This window comes from Homo sapiens, chromosome 6 (genome assembly GCF_000001405.40).
Source record: "Homo sapiens chromosome 6, GRCh38.p14 Primary Assembly".
Lineage (NCBI taxonomy): Eukaryota > Metazoa > Chordata > Mammalia > Primates > Hominidae > Homo > Homo sapiens.
In genome coordinates, this window is record NC_000006.12 from 82,213,961 (window position 1) to 82,232,559 (window position 18,599).

Genomic DNA, 18,599 nt, shown 5'->3' on the forward strand with positions numbered 1-18,599 from the left:
TTTTTTTTTCTTTGAGACACAGTCTCGCTCTGTCGCCCAGGCTGGAATGCAGTGGCGCAATCTCGGCTCACTGCAAGCTCCGCCTCCCGGGTTCAGGCCATTCTCCTGCCTCAGCCTCCTGAGTAGCTGGGACTACAGGCGCCCGCCACCACACCCGGCTAATTTTTTGTATTTTTAGTAGAGATGGGGTTTCACAGTAAGGGTGGGAAATTTTTTAAAGGAGGACTGAATGAGGTACAGGAACAGATATAAAAGAGAAATCATACCTACTACTCAAATTACTGAAGTCGAATTTCTTTGCAACAGTTTGCAACATTCTTACAGGATCATCTTCCCTAATATTTTTTCCTTTTTTACAAGATTTAGGTTTGCTCTTCTGCCTCTCACTAACTGTTTGAGCTTGATTACTTTTGTAAACTTCAAATGCAGACTTCTGGTTATCATCTTCATGGAAATTCACTTTATTCAAATGAGAATTCAGAGTTCCCTGATATTCTTCTGGGTTTTTGTTTAAGTGTATTCTTGGTTTGAAGCCATGAGTTAAAAAGTCACAAGTATCTGTGTATATAAATTGTAAAAGGTATTCAAACATGTCAGGATGAACCTTCTCTACCACAAAGAGATGGCACCCTGCAGAATCTTCATCTTTCTGGTAAATATCTGTAAATTCTGAAGTATTACCATCTGAAAGAAACAATTTCTGAAAAAAATCAGAATGCACTGCCAAAATATATTTATGTGCAGGGAAGAGTCTATTGCCAACTTGAAATGTCACATCATGAATGCTGTCCATTTCATCTGCTTCCCTCAACAGTTTGCCAAACTCTTCAAAAAAGGATGATGAGGACACAGCTGGAATTTCATAAAGGCTAGAAAGAAGACAAAAACAAATTATGCTTCAAAAAATATGAAGGAAATCCTTTTTCATACCTAGCCAATTCTCCTTTAAAATGCAATTTTTTTAACAATATTTAGAAAATTTTAAATTTGGCATTTCCTAAAATACAAGAATATTGCACAAAGTCCTAGATGCTATATCATCCTTTAATTTTTTTCTATTCCTTTTTATATTTATATTCTATTCTTCTCTCAAATTAAAATGATAAGAACTAAGTTGTCCGTATCCCTGGTTCTTACAGTACTGTGGGAATGCAATTACACCTTCCCAACCAACATTTCACCCTTCTCAGTAGGAAGACCAACCCTCCTGTGGTTTGCCTTGGACTGACGAGTTTCTCAGATGAGACTTTCAATGTTAAAACTGGGGCAGGCCTGGGCAAACCAGGATGGATGATGACCCTACTTGCAGAATTTCCTCCCTCTTCAACAGTACCCTTGATGTTTATCTTAATCTGATACCTCTCTGCTTATGTGACTTAGGAGATTTGCATTGCGATTTACAGATGGCGCCACAACACTTATTTTGCCAATTCTCATCATATTCAAGGGTCAGAAATCTTTGCAAACTGCCTAAGAAATATTTATAATACATTTTTCAGAATCTGAGAACCCAGGGTACATCATACAGTATGAAAGACAAATAAGGCAGGGTGCGGTGGCTCATGCCTGTAATCCTAGCACTTTGGGAGGCCGAGGCTGGCGGATCACCTGAGGTCAGGTGGTCAAGACCAGCCTGGCCAACAGGGCAAAACCCCATCTCTACTAAAAATACAAAAATTAGCTGGGTGTGGTGGCGGGCACCTGTAATCCCAACTACTTGGGAGGCTGAGGCAAGAGAACTGCTTCATCCTGGGAGGTGGAGGTTAGAGTGAGCCGAGATTTTGCCACTTAGCCTGGGCAATAGAGCAAGACTCCATCTCAAAAAAAAAAAAAAAAAAAAGAAAGACAATAAACTTTGTGAGTGCATGTATAGATATTTTCAATATTTTCAATAAATGTCAGTTTATAAACCAAAGGAAACATTCATCACTCCAAGTATAACAAATTCTACCTCTGGATTATCTGTAGACATAATCTGTAAACATGATTATGTCTAAGGTCTCTATAGGTCTTGGCAACAGCTCTTCAATTAAATTTGCACCAGCAGCTACTGAAAACAAGAAAATTCAGTGATTGTTCCTTCTAAAAAATGAAATTTAATATATACAAGTATACCTTGTTTTAGGATCTGACTGCAGGATTGCAAAGTTGCATCCACTTGGATCTGTGCTGACACTAACAGCTCTATGTGCAAAGGTAAGTTTCTCAAGTCGAATTCTTTCATACACACTATTTATATCAGAGACATAAGACACATCTGATGAGGAATTGTGAAGGTTTGATAAAATCTCTGTTAAAAAAAAATAAACTACCATTAATCAAGGCTTTACTGAAACTACTAAAATGATTGAGAAGTAAATGGAATAGAAAAGGAGTTAGAAAAATATGGAAATCTTTTTCACATATATTCAGTGTTTTTGAAGAACTACATCCTCTCTTCAACACATTTTCCACTGAATATATTGGCTGTATTATACAGGAAATTTTTGGTGGATGGATTCTCAATTATCCATGATTCCATCTCTTTCAACAAACACATCCTCCATACTGCAACCAAAGTTCCCTTTCTAAAAAGCAAATCTAGTGTCATACTAGCTTTTAAAACTTTTCAACTTATACTTCCTGTTGCCCAAAGGGAAAAAAATTCTTCAACTTGGATTAAAAATATATAAATCTACTGTCTTCATAATCTGCTTGTTTATTTGCTTCCTCCCTTTCTCTTCCCCCTTTCTTGCATGTATTCAGAAAATATGTGCGTAACCAAACTGGGCTACTATGATATCATCAGTCTGGTGATATAGTAGTGAAGAAGACAGACATGTGCCTGCTCTCCTCGAGTACACAATCTAGCAGGGAAGACAGACATTACACAAATGATTATATCATTACAAGTAAAATCAAGGCTATGAAGGTAAAGGATATAGTGCTTCCACAAAGATATGAAATTTACATGAATGAAATGATTCTGGTTGTAGTGTGAAGAATGTTTAAGGTAAACAAAGAATAGATAAAAAGAGGCCATTTAAGGAATTACTGTAAATCCAGGAAAAGAATTAAAAGATGATATAGACTAGGTTGTAGCAATGAATCTGGAAAAAAGTGGAAAGATATAAGAAACATTTGAGAAAGAGAACAAAACTTGATGACTGATTAATTCTAGTGTAAGGGAATCTGAGTGTCAAAGATAATAATTTACAGAAATAGAAAACACTGAGAAGCAGAAGTTAGAGCATGAAATCATGAATTCAGTTTCAGATCACTAAATATGACTAAGACACACTTCTAAAGACTTCCATAAGTTGAACCTACGTTCTAGTTACTCCCACAAATTAACTCTATTTTAGTCTTATGAGGCTTTACTAATCTTCTCTGACACTCAGTCATTCCAATTTCTATGCTCTCAAGAAACTTATTATGTGGATATTAACATTAGTCTCAGTGAACTGCAAATATTTACATACATGTCTATTGCCCCTACAAGCCTATGAGTGCCTCAGTATAGAGGCCCATTTTATATATTCTTGCATCTTTAAAACTTTCCCCTATATCTGGCACATAGTAAATATATATTAAATGTTTACAGACTTGAATAATCTATAAAGAAATAAAAGAAATACAAGTAAATCATTAAATTTTACAAAAGTCATTTATCTGTGGCTTTATGATTTTGAAGAATACGTTTATAATTTTCTGAGTAATTATAAACATTCTTGATTTTGTTCTGGCACACAATAACTGAGTTATTCATACAACAGGTGATTTAATGAGTGACTACAATGCGCCAGGAAATATGCCAAAGGCTAAGGATATAGACGAATATTCATGGCCCTTGCCATCACTAACCTTACACTCTAATAGGAAACAGGCATTAAAAAACTAATCACAAAGATAAATACATAAAAGTAAAACCTAATAACACTTGTCAGTTGAACCTAATACTTGTCAAATTAAAGGATAATTGAAAGGTACTTTTACGTATTGTTCAATATATGAACTGACCTTTCTTTTCAGAACTCTTTCTTTTCTCTTCAAACCATCTCCCTCTAAATCCTTCTCCATCTTGCGTAACAAATAGAATTTCATTTCTATTTAAAGCAATATCAGAAATGAAGACCTGACGTGGATAGGCCCATCGACACTGCTTCAGAGAACTGTTGACTGATCTCCAGCAAAACACCTAAAACAAAACCAAATCACATTGAAATATAAAGCAAGTAGCATTTGAACAACCAAAACCTTAAATCAAGATATCAAGAGACAATGCTGTTAAAATAAAAGCTCTCATTAGTATGTTTCAATGTTTATTCTTCCACAGAAAAAGATAGCTACTATAAGAAAAATCAAGATGATTTTAAAGAAATATCTTTCAGAAAAGTATATTAAGCAAGCCTGAAGCATTAGAAATTATTTCAAAGGCACTCCTCTTAAGAAGTAGCAATTTCCAGTATTACCTGTTTAGGGCAAACAGATGTGCTACAATGCTAAAGAAAAACAAAATCTTAAAGCTACAACTTACAAGTCAGGCTTCTTGTAGTACTATCTCTTTACAAGAAGAATGAGCCCCCTATGAAAATCCAAACTTTACTCTCAAGAAAAAAGTAAATGTATGCATAACTCAATTATATAACTAAAACAAAATCTTAGAAAAGTCATTACAGAATTCAATGGTTGTAAATGGTTCTGCAAACCTCAGAGTCCCTGAAAAGTAGCTCCAGGGGACTTGCTAAGGGATGGAGAATGATGAGAGATGGGGTGTCAGGCTTCCCAATCCACAGTAGCAATTGTTTTATCTGTTTCATATACCGGTATTCCAAGCACAATTTCATTTGAAAAATTGGAACTGCTGATTTTTAAAAGTCCAATTCCCTCATAATCAAGTTAAGAAAACTAGAACACAAAATGGTTATCTGACAAGGTCGCTAAAAAGTTATTCACACAAAAAGACTATACTGATTGAGACTGACTGATGCTTTCAGAGCTTGGTTTTCTTAATGAGACTCTATTTTGCAGGAAGTAAATATCCAGAAGTATAAGCTATATCCATTTCAATGTAAGTGATACACATCCCAAAATCAAATATAAGTTTTTATACTCAACTCTTTTATGTAACCCCATTTGTTTCCTTCCACTAGTACAAACTGGAGCTCTAATTCTTTTTTTTTTTCCTTCAACTTTTAAGTTCAGGGGTACATGTGCAGGATGTGTAGGTTTGTTACATAGGTAAACGTGTGCCATGGTGGTTTGCTGCACAGAGCATCACATCACCCAAGTATTACGCCCACCATCCAACAGCTATTCTTCCTGATGTAGAGCTCTAATATTTAAACCTAGTTACTACTATTAAAATCATCTTCATTCTCCATCCCTACAATATATGCCTATAATGACCCAGTATGTGGAGCTTTATGATTAATTCCTCAATTTCTAAAATGTCAAACTTTACAGCACATTATAAACCTCGGAAAACATTATTTTAATTTGATAAGTAAAACCAGAAAGTTATCTGTGTTCTTCTACCCATACTGTGTGTTTTTCAGTATCATTAGTGTATGATATATACCTTTAAATATAATTTTTAAAATCTAAATATATTATTTAGAGATGGCTCCCACCCTCCCACCCCTCAAAAACAATTTAGAGATGTATTTTATATAATATATAAATACATTAATTGAAGCATATATTTCAGAAAATAATCTTTTTAAATATTTTAAATTAATAATTTTATTAGAGAAATGTACTGATATGTTTGCATAAGGAACTAAAATTAGAACTTTTTATTTAAGAGATAAGAAATTCCTTATACACTAGTGATCCGGAAATATTTCATATATAATGTGGATAGTTATAATGTATACATATATTATAATGCATACATTTGTATAAAACTAAATATGGAAAAAAATTTCCAACTATGCACCAAATTTATCATATTGCCTGATCTTTACTTTTTTAACAGTTACATGAGGCCAGGCGCAGTGGCTCATGCCTGTAATCCCAGTACTTTGTGGGGCTGAGGAGGGCAGATCACTTGAGGCCAGGAGTTTGAGACCAGCCTGGCTAACATGGCGAAACCCCGTCTCTACTAAAAATACAAAAATAAGCCAGGCGTAGTGGCACATGCTTGTAATCCCTGCTACTCAGGAGGCTGAGACATGAGAATCGCCTGAACCCAGGAGGTGGAGGTTGCAATGAGCCGACATCATGACACTGTACTCTAGCCTGGCCAATAGAGCGAGACTGTCTCAAAAAAAATAAATAAATAAAATTATAGTTACATTACATATCTTATATTTACGCAATTCAGTGTCATTTATCAGTATTCAGTGTATACACCAAATAACATCAAAATCTCTTTTCATTTTAAGCACAATAAAATTTTTGATTACAGTTTAACAAATCAGTATTGTGCAACATTAGATTAAATGCTGTCTGTCATACTTTCTCTAAATCCCACCTCCATACTAATTAGTAATGGATGTCTAAAACATACTTATTTTGGCACCCAATACTAATCATCAAAGTCAATAGGAATTGTCACTAACATAGCAATACATTTTCATGTTACCAGGTCTGCTACAGCTATCAACTGAGAGTAAGATTACACTTTTACATAAACATGTACTTACCCTTCCAGCTCCATCCATTGCAAGAATGCAAATTTTTTGACCCCCATTTTCTTTCAAATGTTCAGGATCAACCTTGTATTCCATATGACCCCCAGACACAAGAACTTTTTTCAAGTTCAACTGTCTAGATGAAAAAAAAAAAAATCCTAGATTAATATGTTCTCTAAACTACACATGCCTAAACTTCAAAGAAGTTAGTATTCAAACAACAATCTATAGGCAATTATTGTGAAGGTGAAGTAAAATGATTTGGTCTTTGGTATCTCTAGCCTTCCATTCTGTAAATTTCCCCTACAAGGGGGCTGTTCCTTTCTATGTCAAGTCTTTTTCTCTTAAATGACTTTACCTACACACACACACACACACACACACACACACACACACACACACATTAAATGCCTGAAGTTCCACCTGCTAATTCAAACATTCACTCTGGAGTTTAAATAACTGGTATGGGCTGGGTGCAGTGGCTCCCGCCTGTAATCCCAGCACTTTGGGAGGCCAAGGCCGGTGGATCATTTGAGGCCAGAAGTTCGAGACCAGCCTGGCCAAAATAGCAAAACCCTAGCTCTACTAAGACGAAAATCAGCCGGGCATGGTGATGCGCCCCTGTAGTCCCAGCTACTCGGGAGGGTGAGGGAGAAGAATCACTTGAACCTAGGAGGCAGAGGTTGCAGTGAGCAGAGATCACACCAGTGCACTCCAGCCTGGGTGATAGAGAGAGACTCTGTCTTAAAAAAGTAAATAAATAATAAATAAATAACTGGTATGGCTATAAGCTCCTAAGTGCATCTCTATTTTAACAGAAAAGACAAATTTTAAACCTCAAAATTAAATAGAAATGCTTAATTTAAAAAATGGCTAATCCTAAACAGATATTGCTACCATGAAAATCATCTGTACTGCTATTCAGTAACTCATTCATTAGCTACACATTTCATTATATCTGCACATTTGATGTGCATAGCATTATGTGAAATCTGCCTGCTGCTACTCCAATGACTGTCCTCCCTTTTAAATTAAAGGAAAAAAAAATTTTCAAAATTACTATATTGTATAACTTAATCTGTAACAAAATAATTTCCTTAATGTACTCTTGGATATAACATATTTATGTGATTTAATGTTATATAGGCAAGTTTTATAAATGTTAACTAAAAATACAACTCAACATCTTACATATCACCTCAAACTCAGGAAAAAACCTATTTAGTCAGTTTTAAGAAACATATTCACATTTTCATGTTTCTATCACTAAAATATAACCTAAAATTGAAGTCAAAAGTAACTTTCTGCCAGGTGCAGTGGCTCACGCCTGTAATCCAAGCATTTTGGGAGGCCAAGGTGGGCGAATCACCTGAGGTCAGGAGTTCGAGACCAACCTGGCCAAAATGGAGAAACCCCATCTCTACTAAAAATACAAAAAAAATTAGCTGGGCATGATGGCAGATGCCTGTAATTCCAGCTAATCGGGAGGCTGAGGCAGAAGAATTGCTTGAAAACCTGGGAGGCGGGGGTTGCAGTGAGCATAGGTCACATCACTGTACTTCAGCCTGGGCAACAGAGCAAGACAATGTCTCAAAAAAAAAAAAAAAAAGTAATTGTTACTCAAAGAAGGTAAGTTTTTACAAATTGATAGACATTTTCTGCTCATGAGTAACTTCATGGATGGTACCTGTTTTACATTATCAAAAGCATTTTGTTGCATTTAAATTTAAATCCCCAATTGTTTTAAAAGTTAGATAGCTATTCTCCAGAATTCCTGTACACAACTGCTCCCACTAGTTGAGCTATCCACTTTCAAGAATCATTTATATTTGTACAATGACCTATTTAAGTACTTGTATTTTTTTAAACTAATAATGTATATATTTATAATGAATTTATCACAGTAAAATACTATATAAATGGTAACATATTAGTCTGAAACCTGTCTATAGAAGTTGAATACTTTGGAATGGCACAATAAATATGAGCAGCAAAAAACTGTCAAACTAATTAATCAATTATAAAAGATTCAAAATGTATTAAAAATGTACAATTCTGCACTTACATTACTTCACAATTGTTTTTAAGCACTGGTTCCTTAAATCATTCAAAATGAAATGACAGGTGACACATTATGAGTATGGTTTATATGAAAACACAGGGAATTCCAGTTGGTGCACCCACCCATACTTAAAACTTTATGAAGCTGGGCGCAGTGGCTCACATCTGTAATCCCAGCACTTTGGGAGGCTGAGACAGGAGGGACGCTTGAACCCAGGAGTTCAAGACTAGCCTGGGCTACAGAGCAAGAACCTGTCTCAATTAAAAAAAAAAAAACAAAAACTTTATGATTCTTTGCTTTGACTTGACTAGTCAACCAACTGCTACTTTACTGCATTCTATAATAACATGTTTTTTTAAAAAATATACTTATCAGTTATAAACACTAAGCCTGGTTAGAGGGCTCATGATATATGATTATATTCTAAAGATAAATAAATGTATAATGTAAAAAAGGCTATACAGGAACCAATGATGAGAGTGTCACGAATCAAGAATTATGATTAATCTATTTCTGTGCACCTAAAATACAAAAAAAGAAAAAAATATATAGCTCATATTTAACTACATATTAAACATAATTCAGAAATACCACTTTACAATTTACACAGAAATTTTATATATATTCACTGGATCCATGCCAAAAGACAAAAATCAAAGACAAAAATTCCTGATGTTTTTCCTCATTCAATTTTTTCCATTTGACATTTATAGAACATAGCATAAAGCTAACACTCAGATATTTGCTGGAAGAGTTGAATTATTATTAAAATTACGTTTCTTTCACAGAAATACACATACTTAGAAGCCATCTTCTTGCACTGATAGTCTGCAAGTAAGTAAATATCTCCCCTTGTGGTAACACAGACTGTAGCTCCATCACTTGCAGCAACCAAAGACAGAGCAATGTCTTTATGGTGAAGGGCAGAGACCTGACGAGGAGCAGTTACACACTTTTCTCCATTGGGATCTAGCAAACAACCTAAAAAATGATACAAATAAGCAAATCACAAAATAGCTCTTTTAAGAGTCCTATTTAGCCAAGCACAGTGTCTCATGCCTATAATCCCAGCACTTGGGGAGGCCAAGGTGGGCAGATCCCTTGAGCCCTGGAGCTCGAGACCAGCCTGTGCAACATGGTGAAACCCCATCTCTACAAAAAATAGCCCAGCATGGTGGTAGGGGCCTCTGGTCCCAGCTATTCGGGGGGCTGAGATGGGAGGATCGTTTGAGCCCAGGAAGTCAAGGTTTCAGTGAGCTGTGATCGCACCCTGAACTCCAGCTAGGATGACAGAGTGAGACTTTGTCTCAAACAAACAAACAAAAAATCACTCATAATCTCATTCTAATCAATAAAAATTAAAAAGAAAAGATAATTTTTTAAAGAGTCCAATTTAATTTCCAGATATTGTCATTAAGGATTTCTTACCCAGTTGTCCACCATTTAGTCCCATAGTGTAAACAGCTTCTCTAGTCCATAGGACTGTATGAAACCTGCCTGCTGCAACGCCAATGATTGTCCTTCCTTTCAGATATTTTGCCTGTATCTATTTAAAGACAAATAAAACTGCAATTTACTATATATTTATGACCTAGTACAATTTTTTAAAGATCCAGCAGACCAGCAAATATATGGTATACTTGCTGTTAGTGGTCCACTCAAGTGCAATTGGCAGTTGTCACTAACAGATCTCAGCACTCATACTAAGACCTGAATCCTTCTCGGAACACAAAACATTGTGATGCAGCCACTTTCAGTCAGCAGTTTTAACATATAGAAAATTGACATGGTGTAAGAATCAAATTATTAAACTTTTAGCTATTTTTCTTTTTCTAACAAGCAATATGCAAAGCAGCCAGTCTCATTCTTAATAGAAAACACAGTGCTTCTAAATTAGATATTTCCATGGTCTCTCAATAGTGGCATTATTGACATTTTGGGCTAGATGTTTTTTTGTCGTGCGATTGTCCTGTGCACTACTGTGCACCTTCTGGAGATGGCTGTGCACATGAGAGTAAAAAAGTAGAATAAAGAATACTGGTTTTTGGACCCATGTCCCCTAACATCAACTTGTCACGTGTGATATCTGTGCAGAGGCAGATTTACTGAAGCAAATAAAACTTAAGTCTCTGAGTTCCTCACTTGCATGAACCCATTTGGTATTGATAAATTTCATATTTTTTCTTATGGAGGGCCTAAAAAGTGTTTAAGTTTCAAATCCAAAATATCTGGACCTCCCTTTGCTTATGAAGACTTAAAAGATGCAGTTTGGTGGCTAATCTCCCAAGTGCAGAATTTCCCAAGTGCTTTCTTTCTTACTCCAAACAAATGCTAATATGTACTATGCTTAATTTCTCCTGTTAAAAATAAAGACAACAGGCTGGGTGCAGTGGCTCACACCTGTAATCCCAGCACTTTGGGAGGCCGAGGTGGGCAGATCACCTGAGGTCAGGAGTTTGAGACCAGCCTGGTCAACATGACAAAACCCTCTCTACTAAAAAATACTCAAAAAAAAAAAAAATTAGCCAGGCATGGTGGTGTGTGCCTGTAATCCCAGCTACTCAGAAGGCTGAGGCAAGACAATCGCTTGAACCCGAGGGGCAGAGGTTGCAGTCAGCTGAGATCGCACCACTGCACTCCAGCCTGGGCAACAGAGGAAGACTCTGTCTCAAAAAATAATAATAATAATAATAAATAATAAAGACAGTATATACCACTGAAGATAAAGTTAAATAACAGAAATAAAATAAGTTGCTCTGTCAATAACTTACATTTTTTTGTTCATACAGGTTTTATTGCAAATGTAAAACCTTATTATTTAAAAGAGTAAAGCTTACCTGTCTGGGTACATTACAACTGGAAGGCGGTGGAATAATTCCTAATTGATGAAAAATGTTTAGACCAAATGTATAAACACATCCATCTTCAGTTAATACAACAGTATGATCCTTAGCAGCTGCCACTTGGGAACAATTATGACCATTCAGTCCTTCCACAAGCCGAGGGACCTACAAAATAAAATTAACTTTAGTATACTACATTAACCATTTATACAGATATGCAAATAGAATTTGATGATACTACATCTAAAATGACATGAAATGACATGACTGATACATGGCTGTATCTATCATAGGTAAATTCTACATTTCAGCAAAGGGTAGATGAGTTTAAAAGGATATGGTTGTAAGTTTATGAGCAAAATACATAAGCCCAGTAAGACATTCCAGTGAAATAATTCAATTCAACAAATGATTTTTGAGCCCTTACCAAGTGCAAATTTGTTTGGTATGAATAAAGGGAGCTCATCAAAGTATACACGGGTACATTGAAAAAAAAACAAAAATACAGAATCAATGTTTCCCTTCGGGGAGTAGCCAAACATATAGTATCATATTCCTTTGGAGTCATTTATCTGTCCTGGGTTCAAATCTTACTTCTGTCACTACCTATTTGATCTCAAATCAAATTTCTTAACCTCTCTGTACCTCATTTTCTTCATCTGAAAACAGTAATCAGTCAATAAACGATTGCTATTATTAGTGTCATCATCATGCATAAAATGAAGATAATACCTGTGCCTCACAGGGCTGTTGTGAGGCTTAAGGTAATATTATATATGAAAAGCATAAACAATGCTTGGAACAAAATAAACCCTCAAAAATGGAAGCTATTATCATTATAGCTTTCCCTCTTTTTAAAAGCACCATTTAATAGATAAGTATATCAGAAGTCCCCACAAAAAACATCTTAAAATAACGTAGTGAACCAATTTTCTGATAGGTAATGTACTAGGTCTCTTCTAATTAGCACTAAGTTTCAGTAGCACAAATATAAATTTTGTGACTACATAATGAAAATACTGGCTCAATTTTTAGACCACAGAAATCTTAATGAGAAGTTAAAAACAAAAACCAGAACTACTTCAGGAAAAGTGTTTTACAATTAGTGTGCCTTCTTTTTTGTTTTTTTTTTTTTCTTTTTGAGACGGAGTTTCACTCTTGTTGCCCAGGCTGGAGTGCAATGGCACAATCTCGGCTCACCGCAACCTCCGCCTCCCAGGTTCAAGCAATTCTCCTGCCTCAGTCTTCCAAGTAGCTGGGATTACAGACATGTACCACCATGCCCAGCTAATTTTGTATTTTTAATAGAGACAGGGTTTCTCCATGTTGGCCAGGCCGGTCTCGAACTCCCGACCTCAGGTGATCCGCCTGCTTCAGCCTCCCAAAGTGCTGGGATTACAGGCGTGAGCCACTGCGCCCGGCCTAGTCTGCCTTCTTCTATTTCAACTCTAGAAACATTTTAAAGCTTATGTAACGCTCCTGACTCAGTATTTGCTATAAGCAAAGTATTACTTTTTTTAATCCTTTTGCATTGTATGTAAATCCTTAATTTAAACATGATATATCAGGAAACAGATTTTTTAAAATCTATTATCAATTGATGTATTATTTCGTCCTTACAGTTGAAAAAAAAATTTAGTTAATTAAATCTTTCAGCTTATCAGCATTTTTCTAAAGTTACCTAAATAGTGTAATGACATTTCAATTACCAAGCATGTCTGTTCATCTCCATGTCCTAATCGCCCTCCAGGACCATGACCACAGGTATAAACCTGCCCTTTCTGAGACAGAAACACGGAGTGAAATTTACAAAGCACCACCTAAGGGAAAACAAGAGAATATTATTAAACTTCTCTGAATAAAATATCCTTTATTTTATGAAAAAGAAATAGAATATTGTTAATTGTTTAAACAGGATAATGGATACAAGGGGAATTTATAAGACTTTAATTTCCACATTTTAAGTTTCCTGTAATAAAAATAAAAGATACATATGCTTTGTTTTAAAATTATGTCTAAAAACATTGACACGAAAAAAAAGAACAAAGAAAGAATTAAGCATGTGTTACCCACAGAAGAGATTACCCAAAGGAAAATATAATTTTAAACCTTCAATTCCAAAAATTAGTAGCCAGTTGTTTTCCAGTTTCATGAAATATCAAACAGTAAGAAATGAGCAAAGTGCAACAGGAAGCATAAAGATTACCAAATAGTGATATATGGTACTAATAAAAATAATAGAAACATCTTCAGAGTGTTTTCAAAAAACAATAAAGCCATTTATACATGGCGTAGGGGGCAGTATGTCCTTTTCTTTATCTTTGGTTTTATCAACATGTCTTTAATATACATTTATAATTATTTTAATAAATAATTTTATATTTATTTTCAAGTTTTTCTCTCCTTTCCCACTTCCTTTTTCCTTATCTGCCTCAATCTCAGTACACTCCCTTGCCCCTGATACACAGACTTACTATTCACATACTACAGAAGACAAAGATACTGAAACAGTTGAACTGCCTCAGCAGAACACAATAACAGGAAACCATCAGCAGTTTCAAATATATATATATTTACATATCTAACCCTGGGCCACATTTTGCTATTTTCCAAGCTCTGATATTCATTATACTCACTTTACCTTAATAATATTTTTAAAATCTTCTCATTTTTAAAGATTGTTTGCATTTATATTTCTTACAACATCTGCAAATATTTCTAACTTAGGATATAAAAAGATGAGTAAGAAATAAAGAAACCCTAAAATCATTTCCAGAAAGTCAAGGTCCTTTGGAAAACAAAAAAATTATAAGCTAGACAAGCTCTAAATATTTACACATACCCTAGACCGCTCGGAATTTTGTAAGCACAATATAGCTATCAAATAAAAAAAGTAATGCAAAGATTATTATCTCATTTAGCTGTACCACAAATACCTAAAAAGTTTAAAAATAAAATCCAAATTTGTATTTTAAATTTACAAGTTGTCAGTGAAATTCATTTTATGAAATAAGAAAGAATACATTTCATTCAATTTTATATTAAATATTAGAATGCCATCCTACAACTGCTGACTTCTACTACTAAACAACAGTTGCAATACTAGACAGTTTTAAGTTATCCAACTTTAAAAACCCCAGACTTTTTTTTTTTTTTTGAGACGGAGTCTCGCTCTGTCACCCAGGCTGGAGTGCAGTGGCGCCATCTCGGTTCACTGCAAGCTCTGCCTCCCGGGTTCACGCTATTCTCCTGCCTCAGCCTCCCGAGTAGCTGGGACTACAGGTGCCCGCCACCACGCCTGGCTAATTTTTTATATTTTTGGTAGAGATGGGGTTTCACTGTGTTAGCCAGGATGGTCTCGATCTCCTGACCTCGTGATCTGCCCGCCTCAGCCTCCCAAAGTGCTGGGATTACAGGTATGAGCCACTGCGCCCAGCCTAAAACCCCTGAATTTTTAAATAAGAACTGAGCATGGATTTTCGCTTTTAATTATCTGGAATATATAATACTAACATTAATAATCTCTGTCTCATGGTAGTTAATTAATTTGGTACTGTATAATATAGAATCAGCCCCTTTTCAATAACAAATGGGGCTCTCTATATAACTGGTACTCAATTAATATTCCCATACTTGCTTTCTCTTCCCTGACTGAAATTTATACTGATTTCTTTCCTTCAAACCTACCCACTGTGCTTGCTTCACCCTCATTCTGTGGTAAATAAAATCCCTTAGATCCTTAATACCTTCACAAAACACGCCCACTGCCTTGCCTTACCTGAAATGTGGCTTTCTCTTTGAGTACACTAGTTCACTCACAACCCTGGCAAATGGAATATGCTCAAATATTCCAAACTATATATTTCTTTGGATCAGACATTTCAATCACCCTCTGATTTCCTAATGCCATCATGATTCCCTCACTCTTGTCTTTAAAATCCCTGCTCCGTAACAGCTCATGAAATAAAGGTATATCATGTACTACCTCAAAAAAGGAAAAACAGGTGTCTTTCTTGTGCCACAATTCCAATCAATCATTAGTGGCTGCTAATGGTTGGATTATCATTTTAAGGAGGAGTCTGAGGACCCACTCAAGCTCAGCATGAGAAAAAAAAAACTGACTAGCATGTCTGCAAAAAGCTCTAGACTAGGTGAGCAGCTTGTACACTTGCTGCCCCTGCTCTGATTTCTCACCATCTTGCTCACCCCTCTCACATTCACTAAAGACTTGGACACCAAGCTTGATTCTCGCCCATCACAAGTCCTTTCATTATCCTAAGTTCCCTCCACATCTACAGAGAAGACCCACAAGAATATTAGCTTTCATGACACCATTCTACTCCCTACTTCTCTAGCCACTTTTCATTCCTATATGGGTTTTTATTCCTGTTCTCTCAAAATTTAATATTCTCTAGAGTTTAAGGATTCTATTGCTTTTTTTGTTCAATTGCTGGTTGTGATGCATTAGGTTGTGACTTTTAGTTTAAAAAATAGTGTTCTATGGAGCCCTAAATATAGTGGTCATATTATTTATCATGCAAACATTTTTGAGAATGAAAGGGGATACTAACAATTACACTAGGAAAATAATCATAAACCAGAACTGTCCTGGGCAAACTAGGGATATGTTGTCAAAGTAGCTCTAAAAACTGTCTAAGAATTCAATCTCAGGATATAAACTAAGTGTTGTTATGTATGTCATATATAAATAATAGGTGAAAGTTGGAAAGAGCCAGTACTATAGTGATAAAAACACTCCAAGCTCATATTCTGGATCAAAGAAGTTTTATGAACTTCAAAATGCAGAAAGAATATAACTAGGAAGTTGTAGGAAATGTAAGTTGAAATGGTAATTTAGGAAGACTGAAAAAGTTCTTACATTCCAAGCCACAGAGTTTGGACTTTATCCAAAGGTGACTTAGTAGATAAACACATAATTAGCTCTTTTTTAAGACAAATAATTCTGGAGAAGAATATTATTGGGGTTGAAATGAATGGAGCCAAAAAGTCAAATTAGGACACTGTTGTCACTGTCCAAAAAAAGAGCTTGAAAAGGACATGGCACCTAGGTTCATGAGACAGAAAAGAACTAAATAGACATGCTCTGAGGTATCATCTTCAGGATTTAGAATTTGAGATTTATAACATTAAAAATTGAATAGGGTAGTTTAGGAGTGGCAAAAATAACACTTCAGACATTCTAAATTTAAATATCTTGAAAGAATACCCACAGTACAACTGAAATAAAGTTCAAGAGAAAGACTGGGGCTAGAGATACACATACATACACACATATACACAATGTAATACAGAAAGATTTGTCAACAGTAGCTGTATCTGGGGAAGTAGAAGATATCATGCATTGTAAGGATATAAGACCACAGACCAAATCTTTACAATTGTATCTATTAAAATTTTACAATTACTTACATTTAAGAACTCAGGTTCACAAAAAGCATCACTCGTGCCTAAGCATCTAAGGGCAAATTTTTGAACCCCACACTTCCAAAACATTGCTTATCTGTCTCCATAAGTGATGAAATTTTAGTTCTATCTACTATCCAAACTGAGAACTGAGACTTAGACATTTAATTATTTATTGCTTGTCAGTGTGAATACAAATAATTAAATAGAATGACTGGCAGTTTACCAGACCCTCAGTTAAAAAACTCTATAGCCTTTCCAGACTGCTGTCATCCAACTTCACATAAGATTAAACATATTCTCTTCATGATAAATAGCTTGGAACCTAAAAACATTATTTTGTTACAAAAAATTGCAAGAAGTGTGTTGTTTTCTAAATTGAAATTATTTTATTTTTTAATGCCACCAAAAAAAAAAGAACTGTTGTTCACTTATCAAAAATAACACTGAGCTTCAACAACAAATTCACTTGAGAAACAGCTTACAGAATTGTAATGTTTGTTAAATAGAAAAGCTAGAAAATCAAGAGAAGCTTTACCCTCTTAAATTAAACTACTATCTGTATAACATTTTCTAATTTCTAACACTAATTGCACAAATATCTTATATTTTAGGGTATTTTACAAAGTCTAAATATAATTAAGGCTAACAATATCTAAAATAAAATTAGCAAAGTTCTATTGATTGATTTCCTCATTAAAATGTTACTGTACCTGAAACAAAGTTATGTAATCCACATGAAAAGCTGAACAATCAAATACAAAAGTTCTTTCTCATCTCTAAAAGTATATAGATTGTACTTCAAAAATACCTGCTTGATATAAATCCCACTCCTGGAGAACAGATCCACCAACTCTGGATGATGTTTGCTATTCTGGCTTCCATGACCCAGGGTAAAATTTGTATTATCGCCCCAAGTATAAACATCTGTAGGATCTAAAATAAAAATTAGTTTTTATACTTTTTTATATTTTAAAACACATATAAGAACTAATTTAACTACAATATTTAGAAAGATGCCAACGCTCTTCTCTGAATGAATATATTAATATGATATTAGGTAATTCTAGAAATAGAAAATCCAAATCATAGTACAGGCCTGTCTCAATGCAAGCAATCAAACATTTGTTCCTTGCTTCTTTTTTTTTTGTTGTTGTTTTTTTTTAATAATTGAGACAAGGTCTCATTATGTTGCCCAGACTGGTCTTCACCTCACGGGCTCAAGTGATCCTCCCACCTCGGCCCCCCAAAGTGCTAGGATTACAGGCATAAGCCACTCTGCCCAGGCTGTTTCTTGTTTCTTTAGCAGCTAAAGTTTAACTGCCAAATGAGTAAAACACCACCGGCCATATCTACTTAGTTTCCATGAAAATAATATATAGAACTGTATCAAATGTAAGATATTATTAATCCACACATACAAAGGTTCTAAATGTTGCAAATGTGATATTACTCTTTGTACAGGAACACTAACTTTCAATACTTTGTTTTTCATAGACACAAAATCACACTAGTGATTAGGGTAAAGCCCATTAAACTGGAATACAAATCACAGCTAAGTTCATGATATAAATCTTCATTTTTATTTTAGAAGATGAATAAAGTCTTAGAATGGAATTATCACTGTTAACCTGCAATGCAGTATCCAGGGTA

The 18,599-nt window shown here is 35.0% G+C and overlaps 1 protein-coding gene across 2 annotated transcripts in view, besides 1 other annotated feature; it reads right to left on the bottom strand.

The window, feature by feature from the left end:
* The window catches only part of IBTK (inhibitor of Bruton tyrosine kinase), a 77,758-nt gene that overhangs the window by 43,974 nt on the left and 15,185 nt on the right, over positions 1–18,599 (bottom strand). For both annotated transcript variants that reach the window (NM_001300906.2, NM_015525.4), the window contains exons 4-12: positions 17,758–17,882; positions 13,232–13,342; positions 11,517–11,687; positions 10,108–10,225; positions 9,480–9,660; positions 6,630–6,753; positions 4,000–4,177; positions 2,116–2,290; positions 267–869 (exon numbers count right to left, since the gene is read on the bottom strand). In NM_001300906.2, coding sequence (NP_001287835.1) covers positions 267–869; positions 2,116–2,290; positions 4,000–4,177; positions 6,630–6,753; positions 9,480–9,660; positions 10,108–10,225; positions 11,517–11,687; positions 13,232–13,342; positions 17,758–17,882 — 1,786 coding nt within the window. The remainder of the gene's footprint in view (positions 1–266; positions 870–2,115; positions 2,291–3,999; positions 4,178–6,629; positions 6,754–9,479; positions 9,661–10,107; positions 10,226–11,516; positions 11,688–13,231; positions 13,343–17,757; positions 17,883–18,599) is intronic.
* Positions 13,909–14,109: a silencer, noted in NCBI's record as "peak5922 fragment used in MPRA reporter construct". NCBI's record gives its function as "represses an SCP1 promoter by STARR-seq MPRAs in K562 erythroleukemia cells {active_cell/tissue: K562}" and the evidence as "EXISTENCE:reporter gene assay evidence [ECO:0000049][PMID:32103011]".